This window comes from Homo sapiens, chromosome 15, assembly GCF_000001405.40.
Source record: "Homo sapiens chromosome 15, GRCh38.p14 Primary Assembly".
Taxonomy (NCBI): Eukaryota; Metazoa; Chordata; class Mammalia; order Primates; family Hominidae; genus Homo; species Homo sapiens.
In genome coordinates this window covers 62,942,958-62,961,984 of record NC_000015.10, presented here as the reverse complement: position 1 = coordinate 62,961,984, position 19,027 = coordinate 62,942,958, and the positions used below count along the sequence as shown (strand labels likewise).

The 19,027-nt window shown below is 47.6% G+C and overlaps 1 pseudogene, besides 1 other annotated feature; it reads right to left on the bottom strand.

Annotated features, from left to right (window-relative positions):
• Positions 215-715: an enhancer, noted in NCBI's record as "H3K4me1 hESC enhancer chr15:63253469-63253969 (GRCh37/hg19 assembly coordinates)". NCBI's record gives its function as "activates a minimal SCP1, AML or CMV promoter by ChIP-STARR-seq in primed H9 embryonic stem cells {active_cell/tissue: H9 hESC(primed)}" and the evidence as "EXISTENCE:reporter gene assay evidence [ECO:0000049][PMID:30033119]".
• Positions 7,827-8,827, bottom strand: LOC100287243 (Y-box-binding protein 1-like; annotated as a pseudogene).
• Positions 8,828-19,027: the final 10,200 nt, after the last annotated feature.

Here is a 19,027-nt window from a genome sequence, read left to right as displayed (position 1 = left end):
TGCTGTTCAGTTAGGCTAAAGCATGGCTCTCTGGGGTCAGTGGATGGAAGGATGGAGGTGGGAGGAGGTGGTGAGATCCTGGACTTAGTGAACACCTGCCCGTCTTGTGCCAGGCATCGTGCCACTGGGCGTTTGCAGGTACATCATCAATTCAATCCTCCCGTGCGCCTTGGCGGTAGATAATCTTGTCTCAGATAAATCGAGGCCTCTGGGTTTGCACTGTAGCTTTCATTCACAAGGTGTTGCATTCAGAAGTAACAGCAGAGCTACATCCAAACATAATTGAAAAGCAATTTGAATAGTTTGTTGTCTTTTGAAAAACATCTAAGGGGATTATATATATCCATCAAGCATAGCAAAATGTTTAGAATTCTGTGCCACCATGTAGCTGCTCCCACTCCCCAACATCCGAGTAGGGCAGCTGCTCCAAGATCTGCCATTGCCCCCTCTCAAAATCCCCCCACACTCTCTGGGAACGTCTCTCCCTTCTCCCCTTTCCCTTTGTGGATAGCTCTTTGCTCTTTCCAGTGGCGATCTAGCTGGCCTTCCCCGTTCTGCTCAATCCTGCAAGCACAGTCCCCAACCTAGGAGGGCCCAGAACTTCTTGCCAGAGGTCTCTGACCCCAGAGCTACGTGTTTGTTTTGTGAAGCCTTTGACGTCTGTGGGGAGGGAAGAGGAGGAGAAGGCCAGTGTCTTGTAAAACCGGAGGCATCACGAGGCTGGCCCGTCCAGCACCCGCTGGGCTCTGGCCCTTGTGCCCACTTCAGACCTGCAGGCTGAGCAGCTGAGGGAAGGGAAGGGAAGGGAGAGAACCCTCCACCTGGGGAGGGGAGGCCCCAAGCCAAAGGGGTAGCCTTCCAGGTGTGCATCAAGGTGTGCAGACCGGCTGCAGTCTGCAGGAGACAAATGTCCCCACCTCTGTGAGGCTCTACTGAGAGACTCAAGGGCATCAGCCAAGATAAAAAACGACTCCTTGGGCAGAAAATTCAAGCCATTGATTCTTTCTCCACTGGGAATGAGAAGAAACAACCACGACCTTCCGTAGCCTACAGACAGCAGGAGAGAGGCAGCTGCCATTTGGTGTGGACTGTCTTCCTTCCTTCTGCCCTTGTCCTGTTTCCCCTCCCTCTTCCCCTCCCTCTTCCCCTCAATCTGAGAAACCCCTTGGTATCAGTGGCTCTGGTTCCATTCTTCCCTCCTTCCGTTCTTTCTTTCCTTCCACTTTCTTTTTTTTTTTTTTTTGAGACAGAGTCTTGCTCTGTTGTCCAGGCTGGAGTGCAGTGGCATGATCTTGGCTCACTGCAAACTCCATCTCCCAGGTTCAAGCAATTCTCTGCCTCAGCCTCCCGAGTAGCTGGGGTTACAGGTATGCACCACGATGCCTGGCTAATTTTTTGTATTTTTAGTAGAAACAGGGTTTCTCCATGTTGGCCAGGCTGGTCTCAAACTCCTGACTTCAGGTGATCCTCCCACCTCGGCCTCCCAAGGTGCTGGGATTACAGGCATGAGCCACGACGCCTGGCCCCTTCCTTCCACTTTCTTTCACTCTTATCACCAAAAGGACTGGGCTTTAAAAAAACTCCTCAATCTCATTGTCAGTGTCCGCACATAAGACTCACCTGGGGAACTTTTATAAAAAGGATCTCCCCTCTTTCCAGACCAATTAAATCAGAAACTCTGGGTAGGGCTGGGGCATCAGCATTTTTAAAAAAGCTCCCTCCAGGAGATTCTAAGAGGAAACCAAGATTGAGAACCCAGAGACCCAGGGACTGTTGGAACTGGAAGGCACCTTAGGGCTCGCCAGGAGCCCAGGAGCCCAGGCCTACCAAGCTGGGACTATGCCCGTGCACTGGGTTTGGTGCCTGGCTCAGCAATGGAGGCCTCTGTGGCCTGAGCAGGAGCTGTAGGGCCTCTGAAGGTCAATCTAATGTGGCAGCTTTACCTCCCCCATCCCCCTCTCCCCACAGTATCCCATCTCTTCCTGAAGGCCTGAGGCACCCTCTGAGAAGTGAGCAGAGAGGCCGGAGGGTCTGGGCTCTGCTTGGCCACCACATCTCCAGCTTTTACAACGAGCAGTACTACTGCTGTAAGTTCCCAAACCTGGGGCATTTTTGGCAAGTTATTAATCCCTATTAAGCAAGCCATTAATCTCAATTAACTTGATTGCTTAATTAGGCAGGGCAAACAAAGAAGGAAGTCCATAGAAATTGCTCATGGGGCACCAACAGGCTGTGTGGTCTTTGAGAACCAACAGGAGTCAGGGGCCTGAGTTCTGTTAGCCCTTTTGCCAAGACCTGTGTCTTGGCATTTCACATCACTAAACCAGGGGTTGATGAATGGGCTGTTCCAGTTAAAGGGCTATGTAGATAAGCAATTTTCAAAGACTTGGAAAAAAAATAGATTCAAACTTAAAACCATACTAAACAGTCTATAATTTCTCTTTGCTACCAATTGCATTTCAGATGTGTGCCCTGTCATTAGTATTGCACTGTGAAGGTTGATTGGAATCACATAGGACTGTAAATGGTAATAACAGGCATTCAATAAAAAGTTACTAAATAAAATAAAAATATTTCTAAGATTCTGAGCTGGGCTATCAGTGAATTTACTTTGATTGGTTTATATTAATACATGTTGGCCAGGCACGGTGGCTCATGCCTGTAATCCTAGCACTTTGGGAGTCCAAGGTAGGTGGATCACTTGAGCCCAGGAGTTCAAGACCAGCCTGGGCAGCATGGGAAAACCCTGTCTCTACAAAAAAATGCAAAAATTAGCCAGGCATGGTAGCACACGCCTACTCAGGAGGCTGAGGTGGGAGGATCACTTGAGCCAGGAAGGTCAAGGCTGCAGTGAGCTGCGATTGCGCTGCTGCACTCAGCCTGGGCCACAGACTGAGACCCCATCTCAACAACAACAAAAAGAATGTATGTTAATTGTAGCAAATTTGAAAGTTGTGGAAAAAGACAAGAAAGTCAAGCTGAGATCACCGTTGTAAAGTTTTGTGTTGGTGTTTCTAATTCTGTTTTTTCATGTACATATGCATAGCTTTCAAAGTTAAAATCTCTGCTATGCAAAAGTGGGGCTGGGCAGATGGCCTGCAAGAGTTTTAGGCCCTCATGCTAGATTCTGCTGGGGGCCTGCTTGGATCCTCTTTACCGCGGGGGCACCTGCCCCCAGCTGCTGTGAGTGTTGCATACTGTTGGCTCATGCTTGTTTACTTCTCTGGAGGCTTGCCCTTTACCAAGTGGGAGCTGCCAACCCTGAAAATGCCTGGAGGTTATCCAGGGATGGCAATGTCCTTCTCCCAGGGGCAGCTCACAGCTAATGACTGCCTGATGCTGGAAGCAAAAACCTAGCTCCTTTGCCTCAGCTGACACTGGAACAGCTTTGTGGTGTCACTTATGTCCCAGAGCAACCTGTGGATCAGGCTGAGGTTAGATTTTAGCTGAAGCCAGCTCTTTGCTTAGCTTCCTTTCTACCTCATTCTACTTCCTCGACTATCTTACTGGTTTCTCTGGGGCCCCGTCTATAGGAATCGCCGGCTTAGCTCTACTTCTGGAGCACCTGACCTCTGGCAGCTCCTTTCAGCTCTAGCCCTTAGGACCAAAGCGTGAGACTTGCTCCTCAAAGCAGCCTCAGCATCACCTGGGGTCTTGTTAGAAGTGCAGAATGTCAGGCCTCAAGCCAGACCTACTGTCTGCGTCTGCATTTTAACAAGATCCCAGGGAGATTCTTATGCACATTAAAGATTGAGAGGACTATCCTAGATATCAGTGTTGTAGGAGAGAGTGAGGTAGGGCAGGAGTGGAAGGTGGTTCTTCTTTGGCCTAATTTCCACTGGAGCCCAGGGGGGTGAATGAAGAGGGAAGACAATGTGAGGAAATCTAAGGATTTATGCTGCGTCCCTGAAGGCAGGGTGAAGAACACCTTTGCAGTGGAAACACGTGAGGGGCTGACAAAAATGGAGGATTCATTCTAGGCAAGAAGGGGTGGTTCCTGGATAGGGAGGGTTGGGTGTGTCATCTGCAGGTTCTAATTCCTTACCTTCCACTAATTCAGGGGCAGGTGAGCTGCGGTGAGCTTCTTAGTTCTCTGGGTTTTCTGTCCTTCCGTATGTAACATATAGGATTTGGACAAGTTGATTTCAATGATGCCCTACAGATTACACCCTGTATAGGTCTAAGAAGAAAACAACAACAACAAAAACGGCTCCTATAGCTACAGTCACAAATCTTAGGCAAAGATGACAGACACATCAATTGACAGAGGCAGTTGCTGGGATGTAGAACCCACAGCCCAAACTTAGGACCTGTGCATCAATTCTATTTCATTGCATCAAAACTTTTTTTAAAAAAAAGAAAGAAAAAAAGGAAGGAAGGAAGGAAGGAGGGAGGGAGGGAGGAAGGGGTTGAAATCACAGAGTGGGTGCTCTCTGAGAGGTACATGCAGGGACCAAGGGAAACAACGGAGTGAGCAGCAATTCTCCCAGCTTGTGGGACCGCATGATATAGACAGAATGGGCCTGACATTGAAGAGTGCTCACTGTCACGTCGCATTGCTTCCTGCACAGCAATGTGCCTCCCAGAGCTTGCACAGAGTTTGGAGGTCAGTTTCATACCCTGGAACTACATCTGCCTGGTCAAATTCCAGATGCTAAATGAAGAGGGTTGTTTCTGGACAAACTTGGGCTGGCAAGGCTGTCACGCTTCTTAGTCACCTTCCTTCCTTTGGAATTTCCCCTCCTGGCCTCAGATGCCCAGAGCTGCTTAGAAAACCCTCACGGTGGTGCCTGATCAAGGCTGACCCCCTATAGACAGTGGCTTATGTTCCAGAACTTTCCCAACCTTTTTCCTTCCATCAAACTCTTAGGTCAGTTTCCTCTCCTGTGCCATCTAATCCAGGAGCCAGTAGTTATATGTGGCTGTTTACGTTTTAAATGTCAGTTAATTAAAATTAGGCAAAAATTCAGTTTCCCAGTCACACAAGCCACATTTCAAGGCTCAATAGCTGTATGTGGTAGTGGCCACCGTATTGGACCATATAAAGAACAGTTCCATCATCACAGAGAGTTCTATTGGACCACGCTCATCTATATCACTCCTGTGCCTTATTCACCTGGCAGTACATCTGGCCAGTATATGGCATGCAGGAGGGGGAATATTCAGAATGCCTCCATGTTCTGCCTGCATGTGTCCACTCCTCTGGCAAGCCCTCCTTTCACTCTTCCTTCAGATCCTGCCTGCTGTTATCTGAACATTCTGCCTCTGGAGAGCTCCGTGTCCCTCCCCTCCTGGTCTCTAATCACCACAGATAACTGAGCTGTCTACCTTCCATCACTGTGCTGAAATCCCCAATGTGGCCTCAGGCTTGCCGGCAGAGCAGCTTCATGGTCATTGATCATATTAACTAAAATATTAGGTTGGTGCAAAAGCAATTTTTTAAAACATCAAATGGAAGGTGAGGATTTAAAACAATCGGGGGCATGAAGTCCCCCAAACCATCTTCTGCTTGCCCTTCTTACATCCCAAGTATGGCAAGGAGGCCTCACAGTCTTGAAGTTGAGAGCCAGCTAAGTGCATGAGATAAGGTTCCAGTTGACCTGCGTTTTACCCAGCCAATGGCATGCCTCTTTTAGGCCCAGCCTAATTCCCTGGAAGAACAATAGTTGTAATTTTTTTTTTTTTTTTTTTTTTCAGACAGTCTTACTCTGTCGCCCAGGCTGGAGTAGAGTGGCGCCATCTCGGCTCACTGCAACCTATGCCTCCCAGGTTCAAGCAATTCTCCTGCCTCAGCCTCCTGAGTAGCTGGGATTACAGGCACGTGTCACCATGCCCAGCTAATTTTTATATTTTTGGTAGAGATGGGGTTTTGCCATGTTGGCCAGGCTGGTCTCAACTCCTGACCTCAAGTGATACACCCACTTCGGCCTCCCAAAGTGCTGGGATTACAGGCGTGAGCCACCACACCCGGCTAGTTGTCGCTATTGAACATCACATATGGGACAGGTGCACACATCATCTCATTAAAGATAATTGAAATATTTCATTTAGTTGGGTATTGGGATGGTTTCTTTCACAGATAATTCCTGTGGTCTCTATTGGGATTAATTTATTTATTAAGGCAGGGATAGAGGAAGGAAGCAAACACAGCTCAAGGCCTTTGCAGATATTCCCTCATTTAATCCTTTTTGAGTGTAAATCAGGCAGCTTTGCCCACATGAGTGTCCCCATCTCCAGGTTAGCACTGTCACCTGGGTCCCTGGATGGCAGTGACAGTAACAATAAAGAATAGCTATAATAATGATGTTTCACAGTTGCTTACCACTTGATGCTTTTCTCCAATTATGAACTATTTTAAACATATACAAAAAAACACAACACCCAGCTACCCACCACCTAGACTGAACAAATATTAACATTTACCACATTTGTTTTAGATTTAAAAAATTATTGAGACAGTTGTAGTGTCCTTTGTATTCTTCCCTGATTCCATCCCCCTTCCTCCTCCTCAGAGGTATGGATTATTCTAACTTGGTGTGTAGATTTTTCATCTGAGTTTAGGACTTTTACTGGTATGTGTGTATTCAATAAACAATTCATAGTATTTTTGTGTGCTTAAAATTTACATCAATAGTGATATGATTTGGCTCTGTGTTCCCACCCAAATCTCACCTTGAATTGTAATGATCCCCACATGTAAAGGGCGGGACCAGGTGGAGGTAATTGGATCATGGGGGTCGTTTCACCCATGCTGTTCTCGTGATAGTGAGTGAGTTCTCACGAGATCTGATGGTTTTATAAGGGGCTTCCCCCCCCCTTTGATTGGCACTCATTCTCTCGCCTGCTGCCCTGGGAGGAGGTGCCTTCCACCATGATTCTAAGGTTCCTGAGTCCTCCCCAGCAATGCGGAACTGTGAGTCAATTAAACCTCTTTTCCTTATAAATTACCCATTCTTGGGTATTTCTTCACAGCAGCGTGAGAACAGACTAATACAAATACTTCACACATTCCACAATTTTTTCTCTCAGCACTTTGTATTCAAGATTTATCCATGTTGATGCTTGTAAGATCTAGTTCATCTGCTGCATAATATTCCATTGCATGAATGAATCATGATTTTTTAATAGATGGGTTTTTAAAAATTATTTAAGACCGGCCGGGTGCGGTGGCTCACGCCTGTAATCCCAGCACTTTGGGAGGCCGAGGCGGGCGGATCACGAGGTCAGGAGATCGAGACCATCCCGGCTAAAACGGTGAAACCCCGTCTCTACTAAAAATACAAAAAATTAGCCGGGCGTAGTGGCGGGCGCCTGTAGTCCCAGCTACTTGGGAGGCTGAGGCAGGAGAATGGCGTGAACCCGGGAGGCGGAGCTTGCAGTGAGCCGAGATCCCGCCACTGCACTCCAGCCTGGGCGACAGAGCGAGACTCCGTCTCAAAAACAAACAAACAAAAAATTATTTAAGACCTTTATTAACAGGTGCTTGCAGTTTGTTGACTTTTTTGAAAAAATCAAGTTGTAAACTTTTATTACAAATTAAAAATGAAGTTCTTAAAAATCTCAACTTGACCAGATATGAAACAATTTAAAAACCTTGAAAGGCGTATTGAGAAAAACCAGGCTTTAAAAAAAAAAAAACACGTTTGTTATTACCAAAAAGAGACGTCTTTCGTTTTTAGTAAAAATAATAACCTCATGCTGCATAGATAAGGCAGATAGTTCTGCTTCTCTGGTCAACGGGCAAAAAGCAAGCACTTTAGGTCTTCCACTCCAATCTTTTGTTCATTTCTTATTGCTGGAATTTCATATTTCTTCTTGTTGGATGACTAAACTGTATGTTGGTAGAGATGAAGCCGGCATTTACTCAGCCTGCCCTGCTCAGCCTCCGGAGTGGACGAATTCTCAACTGGTGGATCTGCTGCTTTTGTCTCTTTGCCATCTTGTGGTTTAGGGTTTTCTGGGCGTCTGCGTCGGTAATTGAAGTTGCGGAGGTACCGACGTTGAGGTGGCTGCTGACCTTGGGTGTCACCTCCTTGATTTTCTTTATCTTCTTCATTGCCGTCCTCTCTAGGCTGTTTTGGGCGAGGAGGGCCCCTGCGGAACCGTGGTCTATATCCCCAACACATATTCTGCCTCATTGGTCTACGTTGTTCTCCTGCACCCTGGTTGCCAGCACCCTCCATCACTTCTCCCTGCACAGGTTGGAATGCTGTGGTCGACACCCATAGGGTCTCCGCATGGAGTCAGGTGGGAACCTTTGCCGCCGTAGGGCCGGCGTTGTTGGGCCTGGCCTTCGGGAGCACTCCCCGATCCCTCGTTCTTTTCCCCACTCTCACTGTTCTGGTAATTTTGCTGGTAATTGCGTGGAGGACCCCCACGACTGGATAGCGTCTATATAATGGTTATAGTCTGCTGCATATTTACTGCCTTGAACTAGAACACCACCAGGACCTGTAACATGTGCTGCCTCCGCACCCTTTTCTCCTTCAACAACATCAAACTCCATAGTCTCCCTATCTACCCTGGGAAGGTACTTCCTGGGGTTATTCTCTATGGCAGTCTGGGGTACAAATACATCTTCCTTGGTGTCATTCCTGTTGATGAAACCATATCTGTTCCTTACATTGAACCATTTTACTGTTCCCAAAACCTTCGTTGCGATGACTTTCTTGTCCCCGCCGGCAGGCGCCGTCGGTGTGAGGCCGCCCAGGACACCGTTCCCTGCGCCGCTGCCCGTAGTGCCGGGCTTGGTGTAGGTGGAGCTGAGGGCGGGGGCGGGCGGCGGCTGCTGGGTCTCCGCCTCGCTGCTCATGGTTGCAGTGATGGTGACTGGGGCCGGGCTGCGGCAGCTGCGGCTCCTCCTGGGTTGTGATGGTAAATAGGCCGGCGGAGGCGGTGGGGCTGCTTAGGGCTCTCTGGTCTGCTCTCCACTCTCGCTACCGATCGAACTCGACATGGGGATTTACCATGTTGGCCAGGCTGGTCTCGAACTCCTGACTCCAAGTGATCTGCCCACCTCAGCCTCCCAAAGTGCTGTGATTATAGGCATGAGCCACCGTGCCCAGCCATCATGATTTCTTTCTTCATTCTCCTGCTGATGGACATTTTGGTTGCTTCAAATTTTTCGCGGTTACAAAACAATGCTCCAATGAGCGTCCTTGCATGTCTCTTCAGGCACATGCTCAGGAGTCCTGGGCTGTGTGTAACTTCAGTATTCACATATGATTCCACATGGGCTCACGTTTAATCCTCATAAAGCTCCAACACATTTCATTGACTAGGTGTAATTGTCCTGTGATAGACATGAGGCAGTTCATTGACGTTACAATTCACCCAAGGCAAGTCAACCGGCTTCATGAGGTGCTAATATGTATTCCGTTAGTCCAACATCAACGGATATGGTTCAAGTGATGGCCCTGGAACTTTCCAGTTGTGCAATTTGAGGCAAGTTACTTATACTTGCTGGGCCTCAGTTTCCTGTAGCACTAGGAATTACATGATTTATTCTGTGCTATTGTTGTAAAGATTAAATCAATGTGTATAAAAAGCATCCAGCCCAGATTCTAGCAGGTGGTGTAGAATCCATATTATTTAAAACTAAGAATGATAAATGCTCAGAAATATTTTTAATAAAAGTAATGGATTATATGGGCATTTAATTCCCCAAATGTGACATTGTTCTTCCAATTTCCCCCCACCCCCCCACTATTCTGAAACAAGCATAATTGTATATAACTAGTTCCTCAGGATTGTACAGTATGCCAGCTTCTGTGACTGATGAATGTGAACTAGGAACAACGACCACTAGGGCAGAGCCATCTGACTGTTTCTTTTATAAGAACGCGCATTTTGATAACTAATATTCACATGTCGAAGAGGGACTTTGCATGCTACCAGAACACAAACGCATCTACGTAGTAAAAACAAGTCTAGTTCTTTCCCTTACCACTTGTGAGCATCTCTTTGGAATTTGGTTTTCCTCATCTGCATAGCAGATCTTTGTTCAAGAAACTCTGTTCAAGTATATACAAGTATACTTGAATGTATAAAACGCCCCATGGGGCCCTTAAATAAGTGTAGATCAGTACGGATCATTCAAACTAATTTTATTCAATGACACTTGCTCTCAAGTTTCTTGTTCTGATTTTGTTTAAATATGTTAAGATCCTTTCAAACAAGGCTTGGGTTTCCGACTTTCCTGAAATGTGCCTGGGGCAGGGTGGACATGTAATAACAGTAGAGAGAGGTCAGATTTCAGAATTAGACAGCTTGGGTTTGCCATATGCAAGCTGTGAGGCTGTGGGCAAATTACGTCACCTCTCTGAGCTTACTACCTCACCTGACAAATGAGTGCAGAAATACCTGCTTCGTGAGGCTGTGGCAAAGATTTGATGAGGTTCTGTACACAAAACACGAACTCTACAAATATTAGCCTCCCTCCTCTTCCTCCTGTCCTGCTAAACTTAAGGCTACCGCCCTCTATGCCAAAAATCAAGATGGAAAATTCTTTTCTTCTCCCTTCAAAGGCTTTGGATGCAGCAGCTTGTCATTTCTTCTTTACCACCAATGCTTGGAAAGAGGATGCTGTATCATTGGCAGTATTGTTTCTTTCCCAACTGTGCCAATTTCTCTGCAAACCATCAGCCCTTTATTTTGTGGCTGAGTTTTATAATTTACCAATTGATGTGGGTATTTACCATCCTTAGAAACAGCCCAGGGATGCCTTTCTCTGGGGGTTTATCAAAACTGCTGAATTTGAACTCTTTTTGCCAAAACCCCTTCTATAGGATTTGGAGTGGGTTTGTGGGTTGGCAGATGCTATTCTAGCAGGAGACATCTGGCCATAAAATGAGGGCTCCACTGAATATGCCAGCGTGGTGTGCCCATGCACCACAAGAGGGGACACCTAGCAGAGACTGACAGGTAAGGTACAACACAGCCCCTCCCCGTTCTGTCAGGTGACGCTGCAGCAGACGCAATGGAGCCCTTGATAATCAATCAAGGTGTCAATCCAGATGGCCTGTGATGGAGGGATGAGGGCTACAGGAGGGCGGGTTGGTAATGAAGCTCCCACAGCTCTCTCCCATGCATGGTTAATGCATGAGGTGACACTCAATCACCTCCCAGTGCAGCAGTTGGGAGCAGGAGAGCAGCTAACTATGCACCTACCTACATCCCTACCCACACTGCTGGAGTCAGGCTGTAGCTGGACAGTGGCCTTGGACTGTTTCCCAGCACGTTATTTCCGATGGGGCCAGAGAAGATTTCCCAGGGACTGGATTAAATTAGCTGGCATTCTTCCCTCATGCAGAAGGACATGGCAGCAGGACTGCTGGGCTTCTGTCTCATGTTGAGTGATGGCACAGGAGGTATCACTTTCAATCCTATCCTACGCTGGAAAAGGCTGGTGTACAGAAGGGATATCAGGCGTGAGGAACTGGGCCAGGATAAAAACAAGATTGGCAGGAGCACTCATATTAGGCCACGGCTGGGGACAAGAACCCAGGGAAGGCAGAGAGGCAGAAGCCATGTGAGGCAGAGAAGCATTTCACAAGTAATATGCTAACAAGAGTTGGCTGCAATGACTGCCTTTGAACAGGGTACCTACCTTGGCCCTGCCTGGAGGCTGTCCACCATCCAAGCAGCCATCTATCCATTGCTCCTGGCCTGCAAGGAACCCAGCTGACTCCTCTCCTCCAGCCCTGGAGGCCTCTACATCCACCTGGGGGTGAGGGCAGGTACAGTTCGGTGCCGTCAGGGGAGGTGGGAACTGGAAGGTATGCCCCATCTTCTTGTGCTTCTTTTCTTTCTGATTTGTTTTCTGAGGTCAGAGCTAGGAGTAGTTAACAGAGAGAGAGAGAGAATGCTATTCCAGGGTCAGGGGACAGTGCAAAATTCCAGTGATGAGGAAAAACATCTATATAGGGAGCTGCATGCAATTTAGCAAGGTCTGGGCATGTGATTAGCCATGTCAAAGCTCACGTGTCCCAAACAATTCCTCATTACAGGACTTCCCCCAGGTCTTCTCCATCCCTCAGTCCTTCTTACCTGGGGAGGAGTAAATGGAACTCCATCTTCCTAGCCTTCTAGTAACCCACGCCAAACCCTTTAAAGTCATCTTGACCCCTCACAAACCCCATATTTAATCTCTCAGCAAGTCTTGTTGCTCCTGCTTCACAAATTCCACCATCCAGCTCTAAACCAGCAGCGGTTGTCTTCCTGCTGGCCTCCCAGCTTTCAGCGGGTTCCCTCCAACCTGCCTCCTAAGTGATCTTCTAGAACATGTCACTTCCCTTTTAAGATCCCTCCAGTGGTTCTCTGCAGTTTTAAAGTTTTCTTTTTGAGACAGGGTCTCACTCTGTCCCCCAGGCTGCAGTGCAGTGGTGCAAACACGGCTCACTGCAGCCTTGATCTCCCAGGCTCAAGCTATCCACCCACCTGTCCCCCAAGTAGCTGGGACTACAGGTGGCCATCACACTCGGCTAATTTTTTGTAGAGACAAGGTTTTGCCATGTTGCCCAGGCTGGTCTTGAACTCCCGGGCTCAAGTGATTCACCTGCATCGGCCTCCGAAAGTGCTGGGATTACAGGTGTGAGCCACTGTGCCCGGCCGTCTGTCCTCTATAGGATAAAATGAAATCACCTTTATATTGGCTCATAATGCCTTTTGTGATATGACCCCTTCTTACTCTCCAGGCTCCTCCTTCAACATTGGCCCTACCTTTGTCCCAGTAAACACATACAGCCCAGACCATTCATTTTTTCATTTTATTAATAAGGCACTCATCAAATATTTGAGTGATTACTAAGTGCCAGACCCTGTTGCAGAATACTACAATTGCTGTAGAAATACAGCAATGCAATAAACAAAATGAATTATCTGCCCTCAGAAAGCTTAGATTCTCTATAGGTTGGGGGAAGTAGGACAGAAGTATGTAAACAAACAAATGCACGGTACATCAGATGATAAGGGCTAGAGGAGATAAAGCAGCAGAGGAGAATGATTGGTAGAGGTTTCTGGTATTCACCCATGTTCAGTTGTTCCCTCCCTCCAGACTGTGACATAGGAGGTTCACCCTTCCCTACACCCCTCACCCCTTGCAGTTAGATGGAGACATGTGGTTAGTTCTTCCAGTGGTTTGTGTCCTTCGTTGGTGCAAAATATTCCAGCATTCACTTTCCTTGCAGCAACCAAGGAGACCGTGTGTTCCAGTGCCAGTAGCTACAAGATGGCAGAGCCTCCTTCAGCCCGGATGGCAGAGTTGCTGCTTGGAGGATAGTGGTGCTGGCAAGTTGGTCAGCGTGTAGCAGAACTTGGGAGAGGGACGATAACAACCTGAGTGGAGGCAGTGTGTACTAGGCTGCCTAGAGAAATACCTGAGACTAGGTAATTTATAAGAAAAGGGGTTTAATTGGTTCATGGTTCTGCAGGCTGTACAGGAGGCACAGCAGCATATGTTTCTAGGGGGGCCTCAGGAAGCTTCTAAGCATGGCAGAAGGCAAAGAGGGAGCAGGCCCACCACACGGCGAGAATGGAAGCAAGAAAGAGAGCATGGTGTGGCGGGGAGGTGCCACACACTTTTAAGTGACCAGATCTTGTGAGGACTCACTCAATTATCACAAGGACAGTACCAAGAGGATGGTGCTAAACCATCCCCACGATACAATCACCTCCCATCAGGTCCCACCTCCAATACTGGAAATCACATTTCAACATGAGATGTAGGTGGGGACAAATATTCAGACTATATTACAGTGGCAGTGAGGATAGAGGGGGAGGGGGCCAGGATCGAAAACTGTTTAGGAAGTAGGACTTAATAGCAGAATAACCCAGGGGTTAAGGATGAGACAGGAGGCTGGGATGAGTCCCTGGATGGGTGCCTGGGTGACCTAGAGAACACGGAAGATGAGGCTGCAAGGCTGGAGGAGAGATGATGAATTCGGCATGGGCATGTGAAATTTGAAGAGTGTGTTGGAACCATCTCATAGGTGTTTGGATCTATGAGTCAGGCACCCAGAAAAGTGGTCTGTGTTGTTTATATAAACTGGGGAGTCCATGAGAGGCAGATGATATTGGAAGCCATGGTAGTTGCTGAGATGACCCAGGAAGAGGGGCAGAAGCAGAAGGAAGAGAGCAGAGAGCCTCCCAGCATTAAAAGGGGCAGGTAAAGATGTCCTCAAGGAAGACTGAGAAGGAGTAGCTAGGGTGTTATGAGAAGAGCAGGAAAGAATATGGTATAAGACAGGCTTCTCTGAGTTCAACATATACAACATATACAAATTGCCTGGGGGTTTGTGAAAATGCAGATTCTGGCTCAACTGGTCTGGGACAGAGCACAAGATTCTGCACTTCCATAAGGCTCCCAGGTGATGTCGATGCTACTGGTCTGCAGATCACACTTTGAGTAGCAAAGATGTAGGAGAAATCATGGGAGAGACTTTTCAGGAGAATAAAGTAGTTGGCTATGAGCTTTTCCTCTGCAATTCTTGCCTGTCTAAGGTAGGAGCAGAGAATGAGGAGTACTGAGTCATTTGGGATTGAGAAATGCCAAGGCAGAAAGACCCTGCTCTTAGTGACCAGGATTACTTGGGCCAGGTGATGCCATGAGACTGAGCTGCATTCTTGGATTTTGAAGCACATGCTTGCTTCTCTCAGCCTTTGGTAGAAGGTGCATGTCTCCTGGGACCCTCAGGCAGAGCAGGTGTGTCCCCTCCACCAAGTAAGTAGGGCCAGGGCTGTCTGAGCCTGCCTCTGATAAATAAACCTGGATGGGCTCTCTAGACTCTGCTTATCCTGTTGATGAGTCTGCACTAATGTTTTAAGCTGCCTTCTGCATGATGTCCTGCAGACACCTGACTCATGGGCTTCCTTGGCTGTTGCACACCTCAGCTAGAGGTACCTTTGGAAGGCAACAGTGTGAATTCCTCTTCCACGACAACCCCGCTTCTGAGAAAGACCCAGGATGCCAGGCTGGAGAGGGAGTTCTCCACTCTGACCTTCTCTGGCTCCCTCCAAGGGCACATACCTCAATGAGACACTTGAAGTGCTCCACAATTTGACCCTTATTCTTAACTCCTACATCTTCTTTAGGCCCCTTTTCCATTCTCCTGGCTGTCTTCTCCAGCCCCAACAACCTACATCCCCTTCCTAGAAGACACCTTGAAATCTTGTGCCTTCTTTCTCCACTCTCATGTCTGCCAACATTTCAGGGTCCAGCTCAAATTCTACCTCCTCAGGAAGCCTTCCCAGATTTCCCTGTCAGAATGAATCTTTCCTAGCAACAGGACCCACCATTTGCGTTTCTGTTTTAGCATTTCCCACAAGCTGCTTTTGTTCATTGGCCGGTTATACACATTTTTTTGCCAAACAGTTTATGAGCTTCTGGGAGTTGAAGACCGTGCCATATTCATCTCTGTGTTTGGGGATGCTGCATATGGTTGTTTAGGTTGGACACTGCACAAGAGCACCCAGCTGAGGGCGAGTTGGTGGGAGCTGATGTAACCTGACCACTGCTCCCTGGCGAGGGTCTGGGTTGGCCCAGAGAAAGAGGTGACTTTTTCTATTTCACACAAAGGTGCTGTACAGGGTAGAAGAAGCCTGGTCTGTATCCCTCTCAGCCCCTGATTGTTTTGCTTTGTAGGTGACAGGGGCTTCACGAATGTTGTTGGAGTTGATGCTTTCCTGAGCTGAACAGAGAATAGAAACACTTTTATTCCATTGACAATCAGAAGCCCTCTCACTCCCTCTCCTACTTCTGTCGCTATGGGCCCTCAAGCGATCTACTTTGTTATTCTGGAGAGGCTGTACTTCTCTGAAAGATTTTTTAAAAAGCTGTCAAGATCCTGACACTTATCTGGAAAGATCTCAGCGCCTCCCTCCCAGACAGCCTCTCTCTGTCCTCAGGCGGGGTCTCATAGCTGGGCCCCATCTCTGGGTGGCTGATGGAAGACTCTTTATTACCAGAATCATGTGAGGACTGTGTCTAGCTGAGTAGATAATTGTGCATATTTCGCCACCCAAAGTGAAACTGTCCATTTTCTTATTTCCACACAGTCTGGCCCTGGGTGTTGCCACAGCTCCCCACCCTTTGCCCAGCTCACATGGGGGAATCTTGTTAATAAGAAATTTCCTTTGGGGGTGTCCTGAGGCCACTTGGACCCCATGTCCAAAAGTCATTACAGGGAGAGAGAGAGAGAGACACGGCTGCTTAGGTGGCTGGTGCTTGAGGATAGGAGAGTGATATGGTTTGGCTCTGGGTCCCCACACAAATCTCACCTTGAATTACAATAATCCCCAGGTTTTGTGGGAGGGACATGGTGGGAGGTGATTGAATCATGGGGTGGGTTTTTTTTTCTGTGCTGTTCTCATGATAGCGAATAAGTCTCACGAGATCTGATGGTTTTATAAAGGAGAGTTACCCCACACGTGCCCTCTTGCCTGCTGCCATGAAAGACGTTGACTTTTCTCCTCCTTTGCCTTCCACCATGATTGTGAGGACTCTCTAGCCATGTGGAACTGTGAGTCCATTAAACCTCTTTCCTTTATAAGTTACCCAATCTTGGGTATGTCATTATTAGCAGAGTGACAACAGACTTAATACAGAGAGAAGGAAGGAAGGTAGGGGAGACAATGGAGGCAAGCTGGCCTTTCTGCCTGAGGCCTGATTGCCTCTGAGGCTGTGAGGCACCTGGGAGAGCTATTCCCAAAAGCCCATTTATCAGAGGTCCCCAGGTGGGGCTTGGCCTTCCAGCCTCCTGCCCTTCAGACTTTATCTTTGCTGCCTCCTCAGACACTTCCCGGGCTCCTCATCTCTCCATGTCCTGGCTGGTCACCTTGAAACTCTCTGCTCTCCTGGTTCCCACAACACTGCACACTCCGAGGTCCTCTGCATCCATTCCTGCCCAGGTCTCCATGTCTCCTGTCCCACTGCCCACCCACTGAATGTTGGGGGACCTCTGCTCTCACACTGCAGGCTTCTCTGGCTGGCCAGCGGTGTGGTGTGTGGCCTCAGAGCTCTTCTATGCCTTGACCAATATGTAAGTGCACACATGTAAAATTAGTTTTAAAATAAAAATGGTATCCTATATGCAATGGCTGTGGTTTTTTGTTGTTGTGTTGTTTTTTTTTTTTTGTCTTGCTCTGTTGCCCAGGCTGGAGTGCAATGGTGTGATCTTGGCTCACTGCAACCTCCACCTCCCAGGTTCAAGCGATTCTCATGCCTCAGCCTCCTGAGTAGCTGGAATTACAGGCGTATGCCACCATGCCCAGCTAATTTTCATATTTTTATTAGAGAGGGGGTTTCGCCATGTCGGCCAGGCTGGTCTTGAGCTCCTGGCCTCGAATTATCTGCCTGCCTCAGCCTCCTGAAGTGCGGAGATTACAGGCATGAGCCACGCACCTGGCCCACTATATGTTTTAAAACAATGAAGTAGCCATAGCATAGCTAGACTAGCATAGACTAGGATACAATAGAATACTATAGCGTAGACTAGGATAGAATAGCATAGCATAGCATAGCATAGACTAGGATAGAATACAATAGCATAGACTAGGATAGAACACAATAGCATAGACTGGACTGGGATAGAATAGAATAGCATAGGCTGGACTGGGATAGAATAGAATAGCATAGGCTGGACTGGGATAGAATAGAATAGCATAGGCTGGACTGGGATAGAATAGAATAGAAGAGTAGAGTAGAATAGAGTACAGAACATTGCAAAAGGTGAAAAGTGAAACTACTGTTTCATGAAACTTATTTCAGTTAGACTTTTTTGTGTGTCCACGGTCATAATTTAAATGAATGTATTACTATGGGGCATGATGAAAAAAGTGGAGAACAGCCATTGTGAGTCTACACTATGCAGCTAGAGTGATTTTAATTTGTAAATCTGAGTATGTCCCCCACCTAATGCCTGTCAGTGGTTCCCTAGCTTGGTCACTCATTACTTAGGAAATATCTAGTGAGAGCCTATTGTGTGCTAGTCACTGTTCTAGGTGCCGGGGATAGAGCGGTAAACAAGGCAGACAAAAATACCAGCCCTGGTTAAGTTTATATTCTAGTTGGGTGAATATAAATATAGAAATAAACAAGAAAAACATACATAGGAAAATTATACAGTATGTTGAGGTGGTACGTGCTCTGAAAGAAAACACCTGAAGAGGGTCAGGAACTTTAGGAGCGTGGAATGAGGACGGGAGGGTGCCGCATGGTGGTCTGGGCAGCCTCATGGAGAAGGTAACACTTCAAGAAGACTTGAAGGGGGTGAGGGAGTGAGCTGTGAAGATATCTGGAAAAGGGACATTCAGGGCAGAGGGAACTGCAGTGCCAAGGGCCTGAGCAGGGGCTGCCTGGGTGGTTTGAGGGAGAGGGAGAACATGGTGAGAGGGTACAGGGGGGTGGACATGGGAAGGAGATAAGGTCAGACAGGCACCTGGAAGCCAGGTTACGTTGGGTCTGTGGGGGGCATTGTAAGGACACTGCAGGGGAAACAGGAGTAAAACCTGCAGAGCTTTGAGTAGAGGAGTGATATGCTCTGGGCTACATTTGAAAATGTAGGGTTCAATCCTCTTGAACAGGTCCAAGGCCCTTTATATTTTGTTCTTGCCTAAAGATGCAGACTTATTTCTTGCCATTTCCATCAGCAACACCAAAATGTTCACATTTTCTCCATGATGTTTCCCACTTCTGGGACTCTGCCTGGAAAGCCACGCCTCCCATCCCTCTCTTTGGCCTGGCTCACCTCTACTCGTCTTTTAGCAACCAGCTGAGATACCACCTCCTATTACAACCTCTCCCCTTAGGCTGGGAGACTTGCCTCCCACTCAGCCTGCTAGCACCTTCTCTCTCTCCATCAGTAATGTACTTCATTGTACTCTAACTCATGTGTGTTCTTTCAAATTTTTGATTCCTGGGAGGTTTAGGATCTTCCTTTTTGCATCATTTTACCCCCACTCCCTATGACAGTGGTGCACATAGGACATGCATGCAATACACAAATGGCTGTTGAATGAACAGTGGCTGATG